The following is a 24,220-nucleotide window of genomic DNA, read 5'->3' on the forward strand; positions in this document are numbered from 1 at the left end:
TAAGCTCCATGTGGGCAGTAACTTGTCTATTCCATATCTCAGTGTCTAGAACAGTGGCACATAATAGGCATTCAATGAATACTTGAAAATTGAAGGAAAGAAGGAAAGAAGGAAAGAGGAAGGAAGGAAGGAAAGAGAAATAAATAAATAAATAAATAAATAAATAAATAATGCTGTCCAGTAAGATTTCCTGGAAGGAAGATTGAAAAGCGGTCTACTTGAGGAAGAATAGTAAGGAAGGACATTCTTACTGACCCTGACCCTGCTTTGCCCTGGGATTTCTAGGCTGGGAAAGATGCTCAGGCTATTGCAAACCACTGTGTGAGATGATGAAGCATCTGTGAATATAACTTGGGAATAAATACATTTATTTATGTACTTTTATATCAGAATTCTGTGTTCATTGATGGTGGGATCTAAGTTTTTCTCCCTGAGACAATGCAGTTAAAAGACTATTGTAGTATTATTTGCCATAAGAAAATGCGTCCTTTGAAAAACCAAGGGATGTTATCATCAAGTCTCTTCTCTCTGCATGGCACTTTTGGACTGAGAAGTGTTTTTCAATTAGGGATATACCAGTTGAGAACTTTGACCTCCCACTCACAGACTAACCTTCTAAGGAGGTTGGTCTTGCCTTTTGCAGTCATGTCTGTCAGTCAATCAATGGTGTTGGCTGAGGATCTCATAGGTGCATAGAAAGTAAGGACTTTCTATGAGGTTATAAGAACTAGAAATGATTTTCTACATTAGTATCAAGCTTTATAAGGTGCTTCCTAAGAACAATTTGGGATACATTGAGCAGATACTTTGGTGTTACTCTTCCTGTTTTACCAAATAAGATTGAGGCTCCAATTGATTAATTGATTTGCTGAATATAATGAAGCTAAATAATGGGAGAGTTGGGTCTTAGAGTTTGGCTCTAGGTCCAGCACTCATTCTCCTACTCTGCATTCCCTCCAAGGGAACAGCAAGACCTGATCCACCAAGGACATAAAACAAACAAAAAAGCGTGCTCCTGCGGCAGTATTAGGGCCTGGGGTAGAAATATTGATGTATTTGTTGATGTTTTGTGGCCATCAAAGCAACCAGATTTACCTGTTTCTGATGTGTGAGTTAAAATAAAATAGATTATGCTGCATTAAGAAATGATCTCAAAGTCTTAGTAGCCTTTACAATAAAAGGATATTTCTCACTCACGCACTCCATGTCCACAGGGAGTTCTGCTCACTGCCCCAGTCTGAGGGAGGCTCCACCTTGACATGCTGCCATAATAGGCACTCAATAAATACTTAAAATAAATACATAAAAGGCAGGGCAAAGGAGTATGGTTAGCTGTGCCTTGGCTGTTAAAGCTCCTGCCTGGAAATGACAAATGTCAATCCACTACCGTTTTGTGACCAAAGTCACATGGCAAAGTCTGTCATCAGTATTCTTCTAGGAAAGGGCAATTAATATGCATGAACAATAGTACAATCTAGCAAGGTTGCTCAAGCAGCTTTCATTATATTTTAAGCTATAAAAGTGATGGACAACACCATTGCCAAACCAGCACCTCTGCATCGGAAACACAGTCACCTGACAAGGCTGTCAACACTTTGTGCTTCTGCTGGAGGATATCTTTGGGCAGGGATATGATCTCTTTGCCAGAGAAAAAAGGAGCAGCTGCTAATCAGGGCTCTGAGTTCTCTATGCATGCAAATGACCTGCCTGAAATTGTTGAATCAAAGCAGCTATGAAATATCTTACACTTTTTATAGCCAGCCACTAGTCTAAGGTCCATGAAGGGAAGGACTCTACCTATTTTATTTACCAACGAATATTCAGTACCTAGCACAATGCCTGACATATACAGTGTTGATAATAGCCAATATATGTGCCACTCTTAAAAGACTTTATTGTATTAGCTCTTTAAATCCTCATGACAACTCAACACAAGAAGGAGCTGTTATTATTCCCATTTTACAGATGAGGAAACTGTGGCACAGAGAGCTTACATAACATGCTTGAGTTCCTTAGAACATTAGTGAGTAGGAATTTGAACAAAGAGAGTTTACACTTTTACCCCTATTATTTCCTTGATTGAACAACAAAAAAACTCATATTATGTTGCAAAGAATAAATGTTCAATCTATTAATTGAGTATTCATTTTCATTTGTGAATTTGGTGGTAGGAGTTAGGTTAAAATCACTTCATTGGCAATTTATCAGAAGGTACTACTTCACTATTTTGAACCCAGCAGTCTTACTATACTAGCAGTCATAATCATCAATCAATAGCCTAGGTAAAGGCTCAGTTAAGCTCTTCAAATATCATTTTGGCATTCTGTGTAAATGAGGAGCCAGGCTGGTAAGAAAATTGAAAGGTGATTCAATCAGCCAGCAGGTGGAGAAGACATAATCAGAGAAAATCAGGGGTCCAACCCATCTAATCACCCATGGAATGTGCTGGCTTCATTCTGGGTGAAGTGTTCTGTTGTTACAAATGCTACAAAATAGAGCAGCCCACACAAGTGTTACCATTTTCGTTTTGGCTGGTGTTCTGAAGAGCAAGCACATGAGGACAGATGGCAAGCTATCATTTCAGGCCTGCCTTCTGGCTCACCTGCATGTAGCCACATAAAGCTTTCTCATTTCCTAAGAAAGCCTTTCCTATCTCAAGTCATATTTATAGCCTCTGACTCATCCTCATTACTCCTCCTAGATATCTTAAAGCCTTTCTTAAGGTCAGAAAGTCTGCCAACATAGAGCTTGCCGCTTGAACTGAGGGGTTCTTCTTGTAGCACTCTAATTATATTAAAGCCTGGAGCTCCAATTTTTACTCACCAACAGGTCTAGTTTTAATGTTCACATTCTGAAACAAAATCGCTTTCCCCATTTCAGTGTTCTCTTTCAGGGTCTAAATAGATATAACTTTATCATAGCAAATTTGTTACTCTCAATGTCTAGAATAGGTAAGAATAACAGAGAAGAATTTCCTGATCACTAAAGCAGCACTATTCATTTATGGCATAGTGTTCCTGTCGCTCCATATGCTGGACGCTCTGTGATGCATTAACAAATGATTTTGTGAGCTTTTGCATTTCTCTGGGTCAGGGATTGTAAATTTAAATACCTTTGGTGGCTAGACAAGTATGTAAGTAGAGTAGGGCTTGGGCCTGCTGCCCCAAAGCTCTGCCCAATTTTTGCTGTATGGGGAAGCAGGCTCTATGCTGCTAGATCAGTTTTTTTCCAAGAGAAGGTCAACATTCAGGTTTTTAAAAATGTACAATCTTCTGATTTTTAAATGCTATCTTAATTTTAAAATATTATGGATAAAGGGCATTTCAGGTAAAGGGAACTAGAGAGAACATGATACATTTGGAGAAATTCAAGTCATTTGATGTGATAGGGTGGTGAGTGCTTAGTGGGGAATAGCAGGAAATGGGACTAGACATTCACTTGCATCTTACTTGCAGGTGACATGGTTAGATTTACATTTATATTAGAATGGTTAAGAGGTGGTCTAAGAGGAGAAAACTGGGGTGGGGATAGGAACCAAGAGGATATCACAACAGTCCCAGGGATCATGTTGAGAACAGAACATGGGCAGTGTGTTAGTCCATTTTGTGTGGCCACAAAGGAATACCTGAGACTGGGTAATTTATAAAGAAAAGAGATTTGGCTGATGTTCTGCAGGCTGTACAAGCATGGACCAGCATTGACTGGGCTTCTGGTGAGTACTCAGAAAGCTTCTACTCATGGTGGGAGGTGAAGGGGGAGCAGGCATGCTACTTGGTGAGAGTGGGAGCAAGAGAGAGTGGAGGAGATGCCAGGCTCCTTTAGACAACTAACACAAGGTTCCTGTTCCCTACAAATGTGCCAGGGCAGATTCAGAAACTATCTGAACTATTTTGAACTATCAGAGCAAGAACTCATTACCATGGGCAGGGCACCAAGCCATTCATGAGGAATCTGCCCCCATGACCCAAACACCTCCCACCAGACCTCACCTCCAACACTGGGGATCACATTTCAACATGAGATTTGGAGGGAACAAATATCCTAACCATATGAGGCAGGGACTTTGAGGGGAGATGGACTTTAGAGATAAGTAGCAGGAAAAGAAGCAGGACATGGTGATGGATTCAATATGGTAGTGAGGGATAAGAAAGCATAGAGGTTGCCACTCAGATTTCTAGGTTGGAAAGGTGGGTCTTGGCTCCTGTCATTTGTTGAGACTATAACAAGAGGGGCAGGAACAGGTAGGCTGGAGTGGTGGGTGGGGGTAAAAATGGAGGTGATGAATTCAGTGTTTGATTAGTTTTGTGCTTGTTAGACAGCCAGGTGGGCTGGAGAAAAGTTGCTGGAAGACATCAGTGTAAAGGTGAGCTTGAACTCATGGGAGCAAATGAGAAACAGCCTGGGAATGGGAGCTGGAGTGCAACAATTTAAGGTAAAGAACAGAGGAGGATGACTTGTGAGATTAATGAAGACATAGTAGTCTCACTCCGATCACTGTTGTTCCTCAGAGACTTAAATCCCACCATAAGCCTCAATTGGTGGGTACAAACAATTCTTCATCTTGCCTGCATATTGCAATGGTTTGGATCGAAGCTGACAAGCGGGAAGCTCACCTTGTATGTGGCAACCTGATGAAAGACTCCTGGTGGATCTAAGTGTGACATCTGTAATAGTCCCTGAAAAGGCCCCAGATGACATGTATTGAATACATAAAGAACTTCAAGTTTTTCTGGGCTGCTCATTCCCTCCCATGCAATTCTTCTTCAAAAGGCAGCCCCAGCCAGGCATTTTATCACACTTTTAAAAGGGCCTACAATGATCTTGGCTCTGACTCTATCAGTGGGCTTTCTAGATATTCAGACAGTTATTGATTTCTGAATCTGCCCTGGCACATTTGTAGGGAACAGGAACTTTGCGTTTTGCCATAGATAACAGCCTCCTGGGCTTGGGCTACAGTTAACTGAAAATATCGCTTAGCACTGGGGCACCAGAGACACCTTTGCTGTTATTATGGGACACATAGTACCTTTAGAATATGGCAACCATACAGCATTTCTGAAACTTATTTCTAGAGATAAATCTATTTACATTTTGCTTATGTAATCTTTAAAAAATGTTTTATTCATTTTAAGTTTTTATTTTTTACAGGGCTGTGTGCTTTTGCTCCATATTTATGGTGACAAGCTTGTATATCTGTATAGCAAAGCCTCATGAATGACAATGTTGTGAGCTGTCTGCCACTGCACATCCCCACATTTCTTAGACCACCTAAATGAAAGTTTCCACATTTGAGATCTCCCTTGTTCAATTTTGTCAGGCTGTTCAAATAACATGGTTAACGCAAAATGCAAAATTGGCTCACTTTCTCAAATGAGTTTGGTGTTGGCATCCAGTAGAGAAACTGCTTTCATTATCTCATGTTGAAATATATTCATAATATTCACTTCAATATTTCATATTTCATTATTTTAGTGGTTCAAACTACTAGAGTTCAAATGATGAGAATGTTATTAACTGTTTTATTCCATGGTTAGAATCATGCCTAGGACACAGCAGGCACTCAATATGTAATTATTGAATAGTAGAAGGAAGTTACTTCCAGGTAATCTTTCAGAGTAATTCTCTCAAAAAGAGCATTTTTAAGGAGAAAAATCATATTGTTATTCTAGGAGGCAGTATTTATCATTCTACAGATAAGGCATCCTGATCATTTGCCTTCCTGGCTAGAGAATATTTTTCTAGCATCTCTTATTGGAAGTAGTTGATGCTCAAAGTTACATTAGAGTCAAACAATATGTCTACGATTAGTTGTGGGGATGATTTAATGAAAAGAGCATTGACTTACAATCAAAGACTTGGGTTTGATACTTACCCCTTCTTACACCACTGTATGCTCTTAAGAAAGACATTTAACCTCTCCCAAGTGGACTTTCTCTTCTGTAAAATGGGATAATAGCTCCCATAAAAACTTGTGAGATAAATAAGTACTTCTCTTCAACTTTTCAGACTCAGGAACAAAGTAAGAGGAAAATAATTAAAAATAATTAATTAAGAAGGTATTGTAGGTTTCTGCCTACCTTTTGAGATTGCTTTTATGATTAAAAGAGACTATATGCATAAATGCCCTTTGTATACTTAAAATTGCTATTTGAGAGGTCAGGCAATTGCTTACTTATAATTAGTGTTGAGTAATTTGTAATTAGTGCTAAGGGATTACTATAAATTCACTTATAGTATAATATTATTATTTATAGTAGATCATGATTAGGATTCAAATAGGGTTTCAGCAGTTTCAGGTATAATTCCTGTGTACTCTATGTTCCATTTAATAACTGATGGTGACTGAGCAGAGAGATATGGCCTGAATACCTATTAAGTACATAGAAAGTGGCTGGTGAGTATTCAATATCATCATGAGATATTGTTACACTGCCAGCCAAGCTACTCATGTATTCCATGAACACTGATTAAAAACTGACTCTAAAGTATTGAGCACATGGTAAAGAAAACTGGTAGAGCACACATGTTTCTCTACTTTAATAGTCTCTCTAGGTACTGAAGACAAATATTAACTTCTAGTTCCAAGCTTTCATGCTAGAAAAGTAAAACCTTGACTCTTGATTTTTCTTCAAATTTCAGATGTGTCAAAATGAATATCAATTTTAATAAAATAAACATTTCATTATAAACATAAGTGGATTAATTGTTGGGGAAAGTGAGCCCAGATATTTTCATTTTTATTTTACTCTCCCCAGTACACTTATTTCATTGAAACGGTAGCTCAGTAAACTCCTACTTAGCTAACATTTTGCAGAGGTGGCCATTCTGGTTCATAAAGTCATACTTCTGTTAACAAGCTCTCCCTCATACTTGTCCCCTTTTTCCCCTTTCCACTACTGCTCCCACAGATTTGGCCAATATCTTCTCTTTCCTATTGGGATGCCCATTGCACTGGCCATCCTGTCTGTAGCCTGTCTTCCACATTGCTGCAGAAGGACTCCACTAATACTTGAACCTGGTGATGTCATTCACTAGCTCAGATAACCTCAGCGGTTTCTCATCACCTACAGGATAGAATCCAGGCACCCTTGAATGGCATGTATGAGTTGGTCCCTGCCTACCAGAGCTATCTCATCTTTTCCTCTCTGCTTATGAACTGGGAACAATTCTAATGGCAGTATCTCAAGACATGTGTTTTTTTTTTTTTTCTCGGACTGGTGTGCTCTTGCTTCATCTGCCTGCCTGGAAACGCCCTATTTTTCCTTTAAATCTGAATGCATACATTACACCTTCTACAAATGTTTTCTTTACCCTCTCTGGGAAGCTTAGATAATTTTGCTGCACTTCTGCAGAAATAGGACATATCACCACAAATCAAAAAATTGTTTTGGACTAAAGTCCAAAACCTTAACATGATCAACCATACCCCATGTAATCTAGCCCCTTCTCATCACTCTCCTGCCCTTCTTCCATTAGGATCACTATGTTCAACTCACACTGACCTTGAAAGTGCATGCTCCTTGCTGCCTCAGGACCTTGGTACATGCTATTTCTTCAGCCTGAAGTCTCTCTGGATCTCCACTCTCACTCCTCACTCCCACTCCCACTCTTTGCTTGGCTATCTCTTATTCACCCTTCAGATTTCACCAGCTGCTACTTTATCAGGGAAGCTTTTCTTAACCTCTCAGACTGTTTTCCCCAGTTATATGCTTACACAGCCTACACATTCAGAGAATGTTATTGACCATTCTGGTCTCAATGACAGTATGTGTTCAATATATAATTAATTGAATAAACCTCTATGTAAACATTTATCTTGCTGATTATACATGTAATATATTTTATCACTAAACTATAAGTTCTCTAAAGAAAAATTATCTTATTTAAAATATTTTGCAATATTTAAGGTATATAAATGTATAAAGCATAATACTCCAAATAAGAAGTCTGTTAAGGTCAATGAAGCCAGAATACAATTGGGAACAAAAGGCTTAAAAAAAAGGCAAGCAGAGATAAAAGAAATTGTGGGTATAAATGTAGACCCAATAGAAACCCAAGATACTGTACACTGCATTGAGCATCCACATCTGGTTCCACTTTTGGCTTTCCCAGCTGAAAATTTCCTCACATCCATGGATGTGGCTTTTAGTCAGTGAAATGAAAGATGCTGAGCTATATAATCTGTAAGTGCTTTTCTATTTCTTATATTTCATGCTGCTGAGACCATTTGGCTGCCTTGATAAGCACTAATCAGCTAGTCTGACAGAAAAGAAATATTCAATTCAGTGGATCTGAGAATACAGTAATAACAAACAAACAATTTCTTCTACCACATTCTTACAACATGCTTCTGACACAAGATATGTGGGGGTTGTCCTCCACACATCAAGCAAGAAATCAATTCTAAAGCAGCTCTCGGAACTCAGGGAAACATGTTTACTTGTTTATTATAAAAGGTATTACAAAGGATACAGATGAAAAGATGTATAGGGTGAGACATATGGAAAGCAGTGCTGAGGTTTCATGCCCTCTCTGGGTATGCCACCCTCTAGAAACCTCCACATGTTCAGCTTTCCGGAAGCCTACTCCTTTTTGGGTTTTCATGGAGGCTTCATTACAAAGGCATGATGATTAAGTCATTGCCCATTGGTGATCAACATAACCTTCAGATCCCTTCCTTTCCTTGAGGTTGAAGATTGGGGCTGAAAGTCCCAATCCTCTAATCCTGCCTTGGTTTCCTGGGTGACCAGCCCAGATCCTGAGCTACCAGTAGGTTGCCAGCCTTCAGTCAACTCATTAGCATACAAAAGATACTTGTCACTCTGAAGATTCTAAGGATCTTATGAGTTGTATGCCAGGAAATGAGGACAAAGACCACATACATATTTCACAATATTACAGTGGAATATTATGATTTCCCCACCATAAGTTCAATTTATGCATTTCTTTTGCTGACCATTACTACAGAGAGAGCTATTGACCTGAAATGTCTTGTCTTGTCTTTGATCCTGAAGACTGGATCTCATTTTCTCCGCATTTCTTTACAAAACAAACAAAAATTTCCAAATGCCACAAAGCATCTTAAGGATATTGACAATAAATAATGTATTGAGGGTTGAGTCCTCAAGACTCGCCCACCTCACTACATTAGGATAGATGTGTTTTCATGAATGAGGTTGCATATTTACAGTCTAACATGGATTTGGTCTCAAAGCAATCCAATTTGCTTAAGTAGGGCTACTAACTGTTTAGCATTAGTTTTATCTACTCTAAAGGTCAATAACACTAAAACATAAGACCTGCTGATGTCATTCTTTCCTAATGCATCTTGACAAAGGAGAAAGCTCTTGTCTGCTGTCAGCATAAAGATGATTTGCATCACAGGTCATTGATTGAGACTATTTGGGAGTGAAAGAGAAGAATCTGGGCTATTTGGAATTTCAGGTTATTTGGTTGGCTGGGAAAGAACACTTAAATTCAGAATATGGCGGAGGCATATAACTGGAAACAAAAATAAATAAAAATGATATCACAGGAACATAGTGAAGAAAAAGATTATAAGCTGGTAGCAAAGGCTAGTGAAGCTACCATGAGCAAACACAGACATAGAGTGAAGTACAAGGACAGTAAATGGGCACCTAGAAATGAATCAAAATTAGGAAAATTGTAGCAGAAGCCAGGGGAAGATACACCTACAAAGGCCTAGGACCAATCTGGTTTGACTAACGGGGATTGTTCTAGCTCTGTGGACCCAGATTGCTAATTAATCCTCTATTTTTTGTTAACTAGTAGAATCTTCCAAGTGTCCACTGAACATATGGACACAAATCTGTAGATTACACTTCCCTGAGTCCCTTGCAGCTTGCTATGGCTATGTAACTAAATTCCGGCTAATGAGATGTTTACTGAGGTCATGCATACACCTTCCTGCATACCTCAAACAGAAGCTGTTTGCTGTCCACTTCTTTTCTTTATCTATAAACTAAAATGTGAATGTTGTGATGCTGAACCATGTGGAAAAGGGTTATTCCCTAAAACATAATAGAGCTGCTAGAAAGACAACATGGGTCTCTGGATAAACTCATAGATCAGAACTATCCCACCTACCTGGTCTGCCTGCCAGGACAAATTTTTGTAGGAAAATGAAGTAAAGCCACTGAACTAATATCCCATCTCAGTCATTTTTTTCCTCTTTATTCTGGATATGTGTGTGTGTGTGTGTGTGTGTTAAAAGTGTCCAATACATCATTGACCATTTGAACAGCATTACTACAACTCAGATGACTTATATTACTTAAAATTAAGGGAAAAATCTTAGAAATGTGCAACTGCAACATTTTCTTCTGTAGTTGCAGCATATGCTTCATTTGTGAAGTTATACAGACTATTTAAAAACTATTATTATATCCAGTGTAATTGTGTCAGCATTGGTTTAGTTAATTAAAGTTAAGGAGGATAAAACATTCTATGAAACATTATCCATATGGTCTGCAACTACCCTTTGTTTTAATGGTGTAAGAACACCCATAGAGAGCAAGTAAAAGAAATTATTAGTGGATTACCAACTTTGTGATAAATCCAACAGAACCTGGCTATTGTGTGCTTCTGGGCTCCCCCTTTTGGTAACTGGCTGCTTGTATTCACATGCGGGCCAGGTATAGAGCTTCGCTTCTCTCCTCCTGTGGAGCCAGGATACTGGTTGGTACTCTTATTTGAGTTTAAAATTTCTTTCTTAGAACCAGATAAAACTACTAGTCGTTCAAAACCAAAGTGCCTATGCTGTCCTGAAACATTAATACCCTCTTCTTGGCCTGACTACTTCCCTATAAATGTCACCATGTTTTTGGATTTCAAAACATGAATTAAGTAACTGTCTGCCGCTGGATTCTGATTCTGTGATTATTCCTGATTGCCACTGTATTAATTTCCTATCATTGCCATAATGAATTACCTCAACCTGATTGGCTTAATTAATACAGATATAACTTATAGCTCTGTAGGTCAGAAATCTGACACGGTCTTACTAGGCTAAAATCAAAGTATCACTGGGGCCATATTCCTTTCTGGAGGTTCTGGAGGGGGAATCTAGTGTTTTTTTTCCTCATTCCAGCTTCTACAGGTTATCGTGTTTCTTGTCTTGTGGCCCCATTCTTCCATCTCCAAAGCCAGAATAGCCTTGCTATGTTCTGCTCACACTGCATTATTCTGACGTCCTCTCCTGTCTTTTTCTCCCACTTTTAAGGTCCCTTGTGATTGCTTTGGGTCCAGAAATCCAGGATCAGCTTCTATGTCAAGGTCAGCTGATTAGTAACCACAGTTCCATCTGCAGTCCTTTGCCATGTAAAGCAACACATTCGCAGTTCCCAGGAACTAGGATGTGGACATCTTTGTGGGGCCATTATTTAGCCTATCACAGCCACTTTTGAGCTAAGTAGATTAATTTTGGGGTTTCTGATTCTATAATAGCTAGATCGCTTTTTTAACTTGACCTTTCCCAGCACAGGGCAGAGGTTTAAGAGAGTGAACAACTGGGAATAAAAGCACATGAGAGGGTTAAAAATGAATCATCTTAAGAAAGCCATAGAACACATTTACTGCAAATTTCTCACTATGTCGAAAGGTCTGGGACCCTATGGGGAGGGGTAGGAGTTATCTTTGTGTCTCCATTTGAGCACATTAATACATCTCACTGAATTGCAAGGAGGTAAGATAAAGGGCATTCCAGAATAGTCTCTTCCAACAAAATTATCACAACAGGGGCCAGGTTCACTAGAGATACTATGAAGTCACCGTGCCATTCACAACCAATATTATCAATGTGGTAAGACCAACTGTCTTTCTGTCTTGAGTTTTTATGGCTTTTTTTTTTTTTTTGTCTAAAACTGGGCTTATCTCGGAGATAAAACAGCCCTGCAACCAAGTTCTTCTGCACTGTCAGTAACTAAGTCTTGAGTTGGTCCAGGAGAATTTCCTGCACTAAACCTTTTCCCTGCCCCAGAAAAGCCATATGGTCAGAAATTCCATTCCAGCTCATACTACTATTAGAGGCATTAGAATCAGACTCCACTCTACCCTTACCCCCCCAACAAAAAAATTGCAAAGCATAAATAGCAACAGCCAGCTTTATCCTGAATCACCTGTGAATCAGCAAGAAAGTAAAATACAGCTTCTCGGTATGCTAAATGAAAAGATTTGATTTTAAATTTATCAGTGTAGTGTGGGCACTCCAATTTCCCAAAGAGGTGTTGCATAGTTTTCCACATTTCTTATTTTTTTTCATTTGCATTACAGACCGGAAATCCTGCACTTCTCAGCTTGTTCTCTCAACTCTGTTGAGTGATTTTCCAGAAATGAATGGTTACTATTTCTAGAACTTAAGTCTCACAACCTGACTCCCTCTGAGTTCCAGAGTCCATAAAAAATAGCTGAAAACTGATGTGATTGCACACAATATGTTTAATATTGTAAAGTAAGAAAACTTTTTTCATAGGAATTGAAAATAACTTACAGAACAAAAGTAAACATTAAGTCTGACTTTACCTAGTAGAATAATACTTTTAAAAATATTCAATGTCTCAAATATTTTATTTAAGCTGAATAAAAGTAAAGACATCATTTTCCTAAATCTAATAGAGATTTCTAATACAAAATGCAATAGCCTTTATTTTTTCATTTAATTTCTCATGGTATTAGTTTTCACTGTAAATTCAAAACCCAATTATTATTTTCATAATGAGAATATATGAATGGGCACATGGTACTTAGAAAACAATTTACTAATACCTTGTGGATAAGCCTTCCCATTGTTATCTCCATGGTGGTCTATTAGCATTGTCAATTTCCTTTAGGTAATATCAGCACCAGGTCCCATATCTTCAAATTTAATTTTACAAAAGATTTTTTCAAATAACAATGTTAATATATTCCCTGAAGTAATTTACAGCCATATTTCCTCTTAAAAAGCCCTACAAAGCAATTCCTATGGAAACAAAAATGTACGTATGCCCAACTGCTATGACTTTTTATGCATGACTTGTGAATTTTGTTTTTTAGATTACTATATTTTACCTTTTCCCTATAATTCTCTGTAAGCAACACAACAGATTATAATGAGTATAATCAGATCTGTAGAATTATTGAATTCCTCAAATACTGTTCTTTTGGAACTGTTTGTTTAGTGACATCCCAAATACCTGCTCTATGCTTCATCTTGGGTTGTTCCCAGCATAAAGATGAGCTGTTAGATACTTAGTACATTTATTTATGACATGCATGTTGGTTTCCTGTGGCTGCTGTAAGAAGTTACCACAAAATAGGTGGCTTAAAACAAAGGAAATTTATTCTCACACAGTTTTGGAGGCCAGAGTCTGAAATCAAAATGTTGCAGGGCTGCGCTTCCTCCCCCCAAAAATGGAGAATCTGTTCTTTGCCTCTTCCAACTTCTGGCAGCTGTTGGCATTGTTTGACTTGTGACCATTTCACTCTAACCTTTGCCTCTGTGGTCACATTGCCTCCTTCTTGTGTCTTGTCTTCTGTCTGTTCAAATCTACCTCTGTATTTCTCTTAGAAACACACTTGTCATTGGATTGAGAGCTTTCCAGGATTGCTCAGTGTGACCTCTTCATGTCAAGAGTCTTAATCACATCTGCAAAGATTCATCTTCCAAAATAAGATAATAGTCACAGATTCCAGAGATTTGGCATGGATATCTTTTGGGGCACCATTTTTTGGCCTACCACAGCAAGACATTTAAAACTGTTTTGCTTGAAATCTAGTTCTTCTGCCTTATAACACCATTGTTCTCTCAGCATATTTAATTTGAAGAGCTAGAAATAATTCTAGAACATTTTGTGCAGATAGGCACTACTTAGATATCTTAAGAAGCTTGTTCTAATCAAGTTTGGAAAAGTATTTTACTCCAGGAGTTGAAATAAATCACCCACAAAATGAAAAAACAAAGACATACTTGTACAAAAAAGTGACAAGTGACAATTGTCTGTCTTTGTATAATTGACTTTGTCACACTGAGAACAGAGGCTGGCAAAGAGCAGCCACTGAAAAAAGGATGTGTTGATTTGTTAAAATAATGAATAGAAGGAATAAACTAGACTTTGACTTCTGCAGTCTCACCACTGTTAGTCTTTATGCTCTCTGGTTATGGTTCCTCTTATCCCAGAAATGTCGATTGCAAATTAAACAGGCTACAAAAGTCTTTATGAACTGAAAACATTTAAAAATGTTTAACTTTCTCATGAAATGTAAATGGCTAATATTTATCAAATATTTATTGTGTGCTAAGGCTCTCTGGACCTGAACATAAACATCTTAAATTACAATATTAATATTACACAACCATAGAAGGTAACCTATCTTCATAGTTAAGTGCACTTTAATGAACTCTCCAATTGCTCTGTAAGATATATGGAATGAAGTTCAGAGCTTGCCGAGGCCTGCTGACAAGTGGATTAACTCCTAGTAAGACTGTATGATTCTGCGCCGAGTAGTTGTCTGTTTACTAAAAGTCAGTAGATGTTTCCAAACCTGTTTATGCTAATTATCTTTGTTATTGTAATTGATGTAATTTAAGAACTGTTATATAGAATGACTAATATGATTACCAAAAGTGGATTGTTGTTATTTCTATGAAAATTAAGTTGAGAGCTTTGAAAGATTTGAGACATAAATGTTGCTGAAAATTTTTTTTTTTTTTTTTTTTTTTTGAGAGAGAGTTTCACTCTTGTTGCCCAGGCTGGAGCGCAATGGCACAATCTCGGCTCACTGCAACACCTGCCTCCCAGGTTCAAGTGATTCTCCTGCCTCAGCCTCCCGAGTAGCTGGGTTTACAGGTGTCTGCCACCACGCCCAGCTAATTTTTGTGTTTTCAGTAGAGGCAGGGTTTCATCATGTTGGCCAGGCTCGTCTCAAACTCCTAACCGTGGGTGATCCACCCACCTCGGCCTCCCAAAGTGCTGGGATTACAGGCGTGAGTCACCATGCCCGGCTTAAAAAAATTATCGAATTAGATTTAGGTAAGACAATTGTAATAGACTAGGAAAAGTTATAAAATTATTAAAGGACTCGGTACTTATTGTATCTTTGTGTTCTCACTCCATTTTAAAGAAACCAAAAATGAATTAGAGATGATACATTTTGAGCCTGTTTTATACAAGAAAGACAATATGACACTAACTAGGGCATCCATATGCAAAAGATGGGTCAAGGGTTATGTGTTTGAAGCTAAATAAAATAAGACTAAAAGGTGTATGATTTTTATTATTCCCTACTGTGATTGAATTCAAGTAGTCAACCTATGATCAGTTTTGATCATATCACATAAGAAGGTTTATAATATTATATATGTCTAACATGTGATCTCACCTTCATGTGGAATCTAGTAATGTTGAACTCATACAAGCCGAGTAGAATAGTGGTTACTCCAGGGACTGGGAGGTAGGGAAAATGGGGAGATGTTGGTCAAGGGCACAATCTTGCAGTTATGGGATGAATAAGTTCTGGAGACCTAATGTACAGTGTGATGATTGTGGTTAATATATACTATATTTGGACTTGACTTATATGATAGTTTTAGTTTGAATTTAAGGTTCATCATTTACAAAATTCCAATAGACTTCAGCTGGGTACTATGGAAAGAGTGCCCAATTTACAGAAAGTAAAAAAGTCAATACAATTTTTACATATGATATATGTCTAGCATTGCACTAGATATCATATGAAAATACCAATATAGTATAAGTCATGTTTCATGCTCTCAAGGAATTAGAATTTGGTTGAGGGTAAGACCAAAACAACAATAACAAAAATAATAATCAATACATAGGATGTAAAAGTCTCAGGTATATTTTGTAAATACATAAAAAGAATGTATAAGGAAGGATTTATGTGGGCTGTTAGAATCAAACAAAGTTTCCAAAAGGAGACTGGCTTTGAACTGGACATGGAAAAAGGAAGATTTGGAAAGTTAGGGAAGACAGTTGGAGCTAATTCTAAAGACTGTGAATGCAGATCTTATGGGCTGCAGATGTTCACTTCCTTCTAGGAAGGTTTCAGTGGTGGGTGAGAGTTGACAGAATACAAAAGTGGAGGGAGAAAAGAAGCTTATAGGTGTGCACAGGAAAATCTCCCTAAAACAAGAGAAAGTCATAAGTATAAAAAAGGGAACATATTAGGAAGGAATTATCTTGATTAGAAAAACAACCACCCCCCAAAAAAAGGACAGAAATAATACTGAACCATACTAGGGATTGCATTGGACAGAGCCTTAATGTATGTACATGATCTAAGAGTAAAGACTGAAAAGTTGGAGTCACAGTAGGACGCATTTAGAAAGGATTCCTTTATGAGCTTAGAGCAATAACATTTATAGTGCTTTTTTATATCCCTTTAGGATGACTCCTGTACGCTTCCAGAATTAATCCTATCTCTCTCTTTGCCTTCCTTTGCTTCTCCCAGCTCTCCGTATTTTTAAATTAACCTAAAAAGTCTATTATTTCCTTTAAGAATGACCTCAACTGCATCATGAATCTTAAGTCTTCATTGGATAAAATGCCTAAGAAAGGAGAAGATTCAGCACCTAGTAGTTATATAAATGGTTGCATGAATGCAACCTAGGAAGTTAAAATTAGAAAATCCAGAAAGAAGGGAGGGCAATTCGCTAAATTGCTACATTTCTCTCTGTGAAGTCACTACCACTGATGTTTGGTGATCTAGTTTTTCTATAATCTTCTGGAATAAGATCATAAGCCTGCCTTTCCTGAACCTAAGTGCCCTGAATTTGGATTTATGACCAATTGTTTCAGAGTGTTAACATGAATCACAGTGCTTCAGTGGGACAAGAGAAGAAAAGCAATTTCAATACTGAAAAATAACAAAATGAAATAAAATATAGACCAAGAATGGAAAATAAATGGATAGTTAAATACAAGTATATGTAACCCAACTAAGCAACAACTTAAGGATTATGGGATAATAATCACCAAATATTTGAAGAATCTAAATAACAAAGTAGAAAACAAATTAGTTGGCTTGAAGGATAGTGTTATGGTTAATTAACATGGAAAGAAATGAGCAAAGAAAACGCTTCCTTTCCACTAGCTACGGACCAGAAAAAAGCTTTAGGTTCATTCAAAGACTAGATTATGAGATTACATACAAAGAAAACTCATAGGAAGCTTTTTAGAGAGACCTGTAAAAATGTGGCTTATGAGCATCTTGGAGGCAGACTGGCATCTCACCAGACATGGCCCAGAGGAAATGTGGAGCCCTGAACGTAGGTACCTGGCATGGGTAGGCACTTAAGACTCACTTGTTTATTTTAAGAAATGGTTATATTAGTTACGAAGAAGAAAGCGTATATAGGCATTGCTATTGTGTGAATGTTTGTGTCCTCTCAAAATTCTTGTTGAAATCCTAACCCCCAAGGTGATAGTGTTAGGAGGTGGGGCCTTTAGGGATTGATTAGATCATGAGGGCAGATCCCTCATGAATGGGACTAGTCCCCTTAAAAAAGAGGCCAGGAGAGAAGGGGCTTGTTTGCCCCCTTCCACCATTGAGGATGCAAAGGGAAAGCACCACTTATGAACCAGAGAGTGAGCCCTCACCAGACGCCAAATCTGCTGGGTCCTTGATCATGAACTTCACAGCCTCTAGAAATCTAAGAAATCAAGTTTCATTGCTTAAAAGCTACTTGGTTTAGTGTATTTCATCGTAGCAGCCTGAGTGGACTCAGATAGGCATCTGTCTTTCCTCAATCTATCCACAGCTTCCCCTGCTTGTCTCAGTGCAATATTTATCCGAACTGAAATTGCTTATGGGTATCTGCCTCTTCCCTCCCTCTCATGCCACTGTGTAAACTCCTGGCATGGGGATCTTTCCTGGGGTGTCCAGGCACTGTACATCCTAGTGCCTGACATCTTGTGAAACTCAATGATGGAAGACTAACTTTCCTGCTTTGAAGGATGTGAAAAACAAACGCCTGACACGAGAACTTGGATGTTAAGCACAAAAGTTTTGACAAGAGACCTTGCTCTGCCACAGTTTATGCAGCTGTAACATCAATATAACAATGGTGCCTATATCACAGGAGTTGTGTGAGGCTTAAATGTAGTGCATGTAATGTGCTTAGCACTTTGCCTGGCTTGGAGTAGCTGGTCATTAATTGTTAGCTCATTACTATTTATTATCGATGCACAAAATTTATGGTCAAACCACAAACATAATCAAAACATTTGGTCCAACATATCCTCTCTAAAAGCCAATAGAAATTATAATATGGTCAGTCTAGTTGGCTCTGATATTTCAGATGACTGATAATATTTTTTCTGCTTGTATTATTGCAGGAAACTTGGAAATTTACATCTCAAAATATGAGGTTTTGGGGCTGTGGATGTATAATTGCCACCTCCTTCAATTTGCTTGGTGAGGTTAAATTTTGGAAAGACTGGGTGAGCCATACTCTTCCTCTCCATTCTCCACTTGAACCAAGTTTAAAAATTTTTTATTGTTCCTACTTCACCAAAATAAAAATGCCAATTAATGGGATTTGTCCATAATGAGCTTTGGATTTAATCCTCCTACAACCCTAATGCTTAGAGAGAGGGAATTTTTAAACTTCAAAATTTTGTGGCTCTAAGCACCAGATGGACACTTAGAGGTTCCAGAAAGACTCAACACAATAAAGAAATTTGGCTGTATTTTCACTTTTAAGAAGTATTTGTTCGACTTTTTGGTAAAGAACAGCTTAAAAATAGTTGTAACATATAATTTGTGTTACTTTTCATAAACATAATGATTTTCAGTGAAAATAACTTGTAGTCAGTTGCTTTCGGGGTATCCCCTTCATCTTTTCCCTGAGATTCTGAAAACTATTTCATATGGGCATGATAATAATCTACTATTGCCTAAACCTAAGTGTGTCCTGAGGGTCATTACTATAAATTACAAGAGATTCCCATCCACTCATATTACATATAATGGGAGGAATGTCATTAAAATTCACTTAGTTCTCAGATTGACTCAGTACAGGCCTAAACGAACTGTCAAACAACTCTAAAAATAAAATATAATGACTTGATGTGTAGACAATCGTACTAGCACTGAATAATCTCCATTTGCAATAGTTATCCGGTTCTATGACCAATTTTTATTCTCATAGTATTATTCCCTTCGAATATTTCTATGTTCATCTGTGTTCACACAAATTAATGGTTGTTTTTTTGAGATGGAGTCTTGCTCTGTCACCCAGGCTAAAGTGCAGTAGTGGATCTCGGCTCACTGTAGCCTCTGCCTCCTGTGTTCAAGAGATTCTCCAGAGCAGTTGAAACTATAGGTGCATGCCACCATGCCCAGCTAATTTTTTAAATTATTTTATTTTTGGTAGTGACAGGGTTCTACCATCTTGGCCAGGCTGGTCTGAAACTCCTGACCTCAAGTGATCTGTCCGCCTTGGCCTCCCAAAGTGCTGGGATTAGACATGAGCAACCACATCCAGCCAGATTAATGAATATTAAATTGTAATGATCAGATTAGAGAATTATCTAATAATTTAAGAATGCAGATGTACTTTAAATGCCATTTGGTTATACTAAAAATGTTTTGAATAATTTAAAACAATCATTCACAATTTAGATGACTTATAGTTACACCAAAACACTGGGGTAGAATATGTGATAGATGCTTAGAGTTACAATTTGAATCTGGGAAAATAACTTCTAATGATACTTTCTGTGTAGTATCACTCAACCAAACACAATTAACATATTAAATAACCTCTGTTGGGAATTATTAAAGTTTTCACAAATAATTTTTTAATATAGATAATTTCTGACTGCTTCATCTTGATGTAAGTTAAATAATTTTTTTATCTTGCCCACATCCCCAATCACCATTTATAATTTTTTGTTTATGTGAAAATATGCCCTTTATTCAAAAAAATTGACTAATAGCAAACTTTGGGAATACAATTTAGCCTGGAGAAGAAAAGATGTAGGTAGAATTTATTAGCTGTTGAATTATTTGGATGACTATTATTTGGAAAACAATGTATTAGAAATGACTATTTCCAAAGGTAGATATTTGAACCATGGAAGTAGATATAAGAGATAAATTTCTTAGCAAAAAAAAAAATTTTCCAACAGGCACAGCTGACCAGAAGTAGACTGGCTGCTTTGGATGAGAGTAGCTTTCCTGTTAAAGAGAGTTCTTAAGAATAGGCCAGATAGCCACTCAAGAAGAAAGGTTTGGAGGGAATCCAAGTCTGGAAAGAATGTTTAGACATAGCTGCTAACGTTTTGTCAGTTTGTAGTTGCCAAAAATAAGAGTGGAGATTGACAGTGGATTTTTTCAACTCAACTACCAGTTTCTTTCATTAACATAGCATGGCACTTCTTTCTGTAGTAACACATCACCAAATTTGAGAAGAGGGACATCTGGTGGATGAAATAAGCAAAAGGAAAGGGGTTTTGTTTTTACATTATAATTTACAACATATTTTGACATTTCCATTGATTTTTCCATGAAAAGAAAATCTATCAGTCTACAAAAATATGTGGTTGACAATGGGCAAAAATTATTTGTGACCAAGTGATTTGGGTATGGTGATCGTTTCATCTGGCCCCTTACTATATGTTTAATAAATGCCTTTTTAGTCATTTTTCCTTAATTAATTCAAATTAGGATATTTGAGGATGAACTTGCTTGTCTTAATAAAACATAAACATGTGACTTTCTTGGCCAAGTAAGAGCTGTTATTTTTAGCTAAATTACTCAGTAGACGGAATGACAAACAAAAACCAAAAGACATCCAATTGCCTAAACTATAAATGCAATTGTTTTTAGTCTTTACAAAAATATTCATTTCAGTTTTTCTATTCTAATAAAATCAAAATTAATTTGAACTTAGACATTTAAATGTAGTGATACATTTCTCTATTTAAAAAAAAGTAATTTTCTGGCTGGGCATGGTGGCTCACCTCTGTAATCCCAGCACTTTGGGAGGCCGAGGTGGGCAGATCACCTGAGGTCAGGAGTTTGAGACCAGCCTGGCCAAAGTGGTAAAACCCTGTTGCTACTAAAAATGCAAAAATTAGCTGGGTGTGGTGGCGGGCGCCTATAGTCCTAGCTACTCGGGAGGCTGAGGGAGAATTGCTTGAACCCAGGAGACAGAGGTTGCAGTGAGCTGAGATCATGCCACTGCACTCCAGCCTGGGCAACAAAGCGAGATTCCATCTCAGAAAAAAAAAAATAAAAGGTAATTTTGTATCTATTTCCAGAAAGATCAATAGGGCAGCAATTTAAAGCAAGGTTGCTTGAAATAATAAGCTGAATCCAACTCTACTAACTAAAATGACTACCTACCTCATTAGTGATGTTTTCCCATCACCGATTTCTATATCTAAATCACAAATAAGTATTGGAAGCATCATTCTTGAAAGCAGAGCTATTATTTTATTCTTTATATCCTGAATACAATATATTGTAGGCACTTAAATATTTGGTGGATGAATCTCTTCAAATCCATTGTGACCGGGAATAATTTCACCCTTCCTTGAAAACCCAGACCTCTCTCTGTGCCTCTCGACGCTTTTGGGGAATACGAAATTGATGTACCTTTCACTCTCGCATTTTACTCAGTGCCAGGCCCAATGCAGAAAACAGAAGCATTTTGCAAGTTCCTTTTCTTCTTCAGACCTAGCTATAAGGAAGATGCTGTCCCTACATTGCTTTGCACACAATACAACCTCAGTACATCTTTTGTTGAATACATGAATGAGTTAATAAATTGCTAACTCTTCTGAGTGTTTCTCCTGTTTTTTTTTCCTCATTCTCTTCCCTTTTACTTCAGTCTCATATACTATGATTTCATAAATAAGCCAACATTTGTTGGGTATTCATTATATTTAGGTATTGTTCTAAATATGTTATACATAAGTCATTTGATTTAATTCTCATGATAACCCTATGAGGTAAACTTAAAAAAATACTTATTTTTTAAAAAAGAAAACTAACGTTAGGTAATTTGCCCAAAGTGACAGGGCTAGTAAGAGTCAAAGCCAGAATTTGGACCCAGTTAGTTTCTGATTTCAGAGATAGGTCTCTTAAATATTGCATTTATCCTGACTCTAATAATGACCCTCTGGTAAAATACCCAGACACACAGACAAAAATAAGTGAGAATGAGAATCCATATTCCAATGTCTTCACAGAAGATGATGGAATATTCTAAAAGACAAACCAAGAGATGGGAAAAGTGTCCAAAGTCCTATATGGAAAAATCAGAAAAACGTTTTGGGTAGAGGTTAAGAGCACAGCCTAGGGAAGGAGTCTGGGTTCATATCCTGACCCCATTACTTACTAGATATGGCACTTTCTTACTAGATATGGCAACCTCTTTCACTGCCTATCTCTCCTTGTTTCTGCAATCTGAAAACAGAGAGAATAAGAGAATCCACTCTGTAGGTGTTTTGTGAAGGTTAAAGAAGTTAACATGTATAAGGCATTTATGAAAATGAATGGCACACAATACTTGCTAGTATTTCTATCATCACAGTTCATCATATTGAAGACATACTCCATTATAAAATGATCTATTTTCTATATGACTCTAATAAAAAATGCCTATTGTAAATGCAAGAAGCCATTGATGTTTAGATGTATCCTGATGTCAGAGATATTGAAATGTGAAAAGAAGTACACGCTGGAATTATGTGCAGAATAGACAAGAAAGAAAAAGCCAGCTGGCAGAATTAAATGTTTTCATACATTAACAATTTCATTTTTTTCAATTCTCTTTTTTACTTTCTTTTCATTATTTTTTCAAATATTTTGTATCTAATCATGAGGTTTCAGTACCATGGTTCTGGGAAAACTACTCATGTTTAGGCTTTAAAGTTAGCTGTGGTACTAAATCCTTCGATGAAAGACAGAATGCCCTGGAAGGAAGGCAGACAGTGTATGAGTGCATGAGTGGGTGAAGGGAAGGGAGCTGAAGGGTGTGCAGGAAATGAAATTTACCTGATGAGACCAGATGCTTTAAAAATTTTTTTCAAGTCAAAATCCAAAGTCACTTGGCAAATACGAGAACTAGGAAGATGTAAAGGGTTGGAAAAATGAATCAGGGACAAATCAATTATTCAAATTATTCATTCAACAATTGTTAAATTAAACACCAATGTCAACTCAACTGGCTTTGCATGCTATATGAAAGAAATTAAAAAATAAGAAAAGATTACAAAAGAAAAATATCTAAGAGAAAATTGACATTAAATTGCATTACAAATGGCATAGTTAACTGCAACTATGACCTAGTTTCTGCAGTGGTAGCATGCTGTTTTCCTGATTAATACTGTATTACTTCTTTTTATACCCTGATTATTATCAAAGTAATCAGCACTGAGCAAACAGCAATCGAATCCCTTCTCAGGAGAGGCTGATTCTCTACTGATGTTAAGCTAAGCCCCTTCATGGAGCTTAAATCAGCCCCTGAGGAGCCACCAGATGGATTGTGAGAATTTAGAAGAGGCAGTATTAGTGTGGAATAGTGGAATAGACAACAGAAAAGGAGTTCAAGTAATTGAGTTCAAGGATCACCTTTGTAACAAACTAGCAGTGTGACATTGTGCAAATTATTTACTTTTTTTGGACTTCTACATACTTGCTCATATTGAGGACTTTACATTTTCTCCCCCCTTCTATTCTTTAATTTTCTGATATTGCGTTTAACATGATGAGACAGGCAGGAAAGGAGCTGCTGTCAGACACTGGGCTTGGTGTGCATGCCTTATGATTTACGGGCAGGATCTTGGGGCTTTCAAAAGAAGTTCTGTCCTCATGGGAGATTACCGTGGCAAATTTCTATCTTATGTTCCTTACAATAATCATGACTACCGTTCACGGGCCAGGGGCCGCCACACTTTATCTCATTTATTCCTCACTACAATCCTCTGAGGCAAGTGTTAGGACTTTTATTTTATGGAGGAGAAACAGGAACACAAAAGAGATTATCATTATAATAATGAGGAGAATAATTATTTGTGTTTACTCTGTGCAATTACTGTGCTAAGGGCTTCTCATATATTAATTCTCTCCATCCTTACATCCACATTTTAAGAAAGGTTCTGCTATAATTACCAGCCTTACGGCATCTAATAATTAAATAATCTGTTCATGTCATCACATGGCTGGTAGTGGGAAAACAGGATTCAAA

The 24,220-nt window shown here is 37.4% G+C and overlaps 1 protein-coding gene across 3 annotated transcripts in view, besides 1 other annotated feature; it reads right to left on the bottom strand.

Moving 5' to 3' along the window:
• The window catches only part of PTPRR (protein tyrosine phosphatase receptor type R), a 282,666-nt gene that overhangs the window by 191,040 nt on the left and 67,406 nt on the right, over positions 1-24,220 (bottom strand). The window lies entirely within an intron of this gene.
• Positions 6,763-6,963: a silencer, noted in NCBI's record as "peak1809 fragment used in MPRA reporter construct". NCBI's record gives its function as "represses an SCP1 promoter by STARR-seq MPRAs in K562 erythroleukemia cells {active_cell/tissue: K562}" and the evidence as "EXISTENCE:reporter gene assay evidence [ECO:0000049][PMID:32103011]".

The sequence above is a fragment of the Homo sapiens genome, chromosome 12 (genome assembly GCF_000001405.40).
Source record: "Homo sapiens chromosome 12, GRCh38.p14 Primary Assembly".
In the NCBI taxonomy this organism is placed as follows: domain Eukaryota; kingdom Metazoa; phylum Chordata; class Mammalia; order Primates; family Hominidae; genus Homo; species Homo sapiens.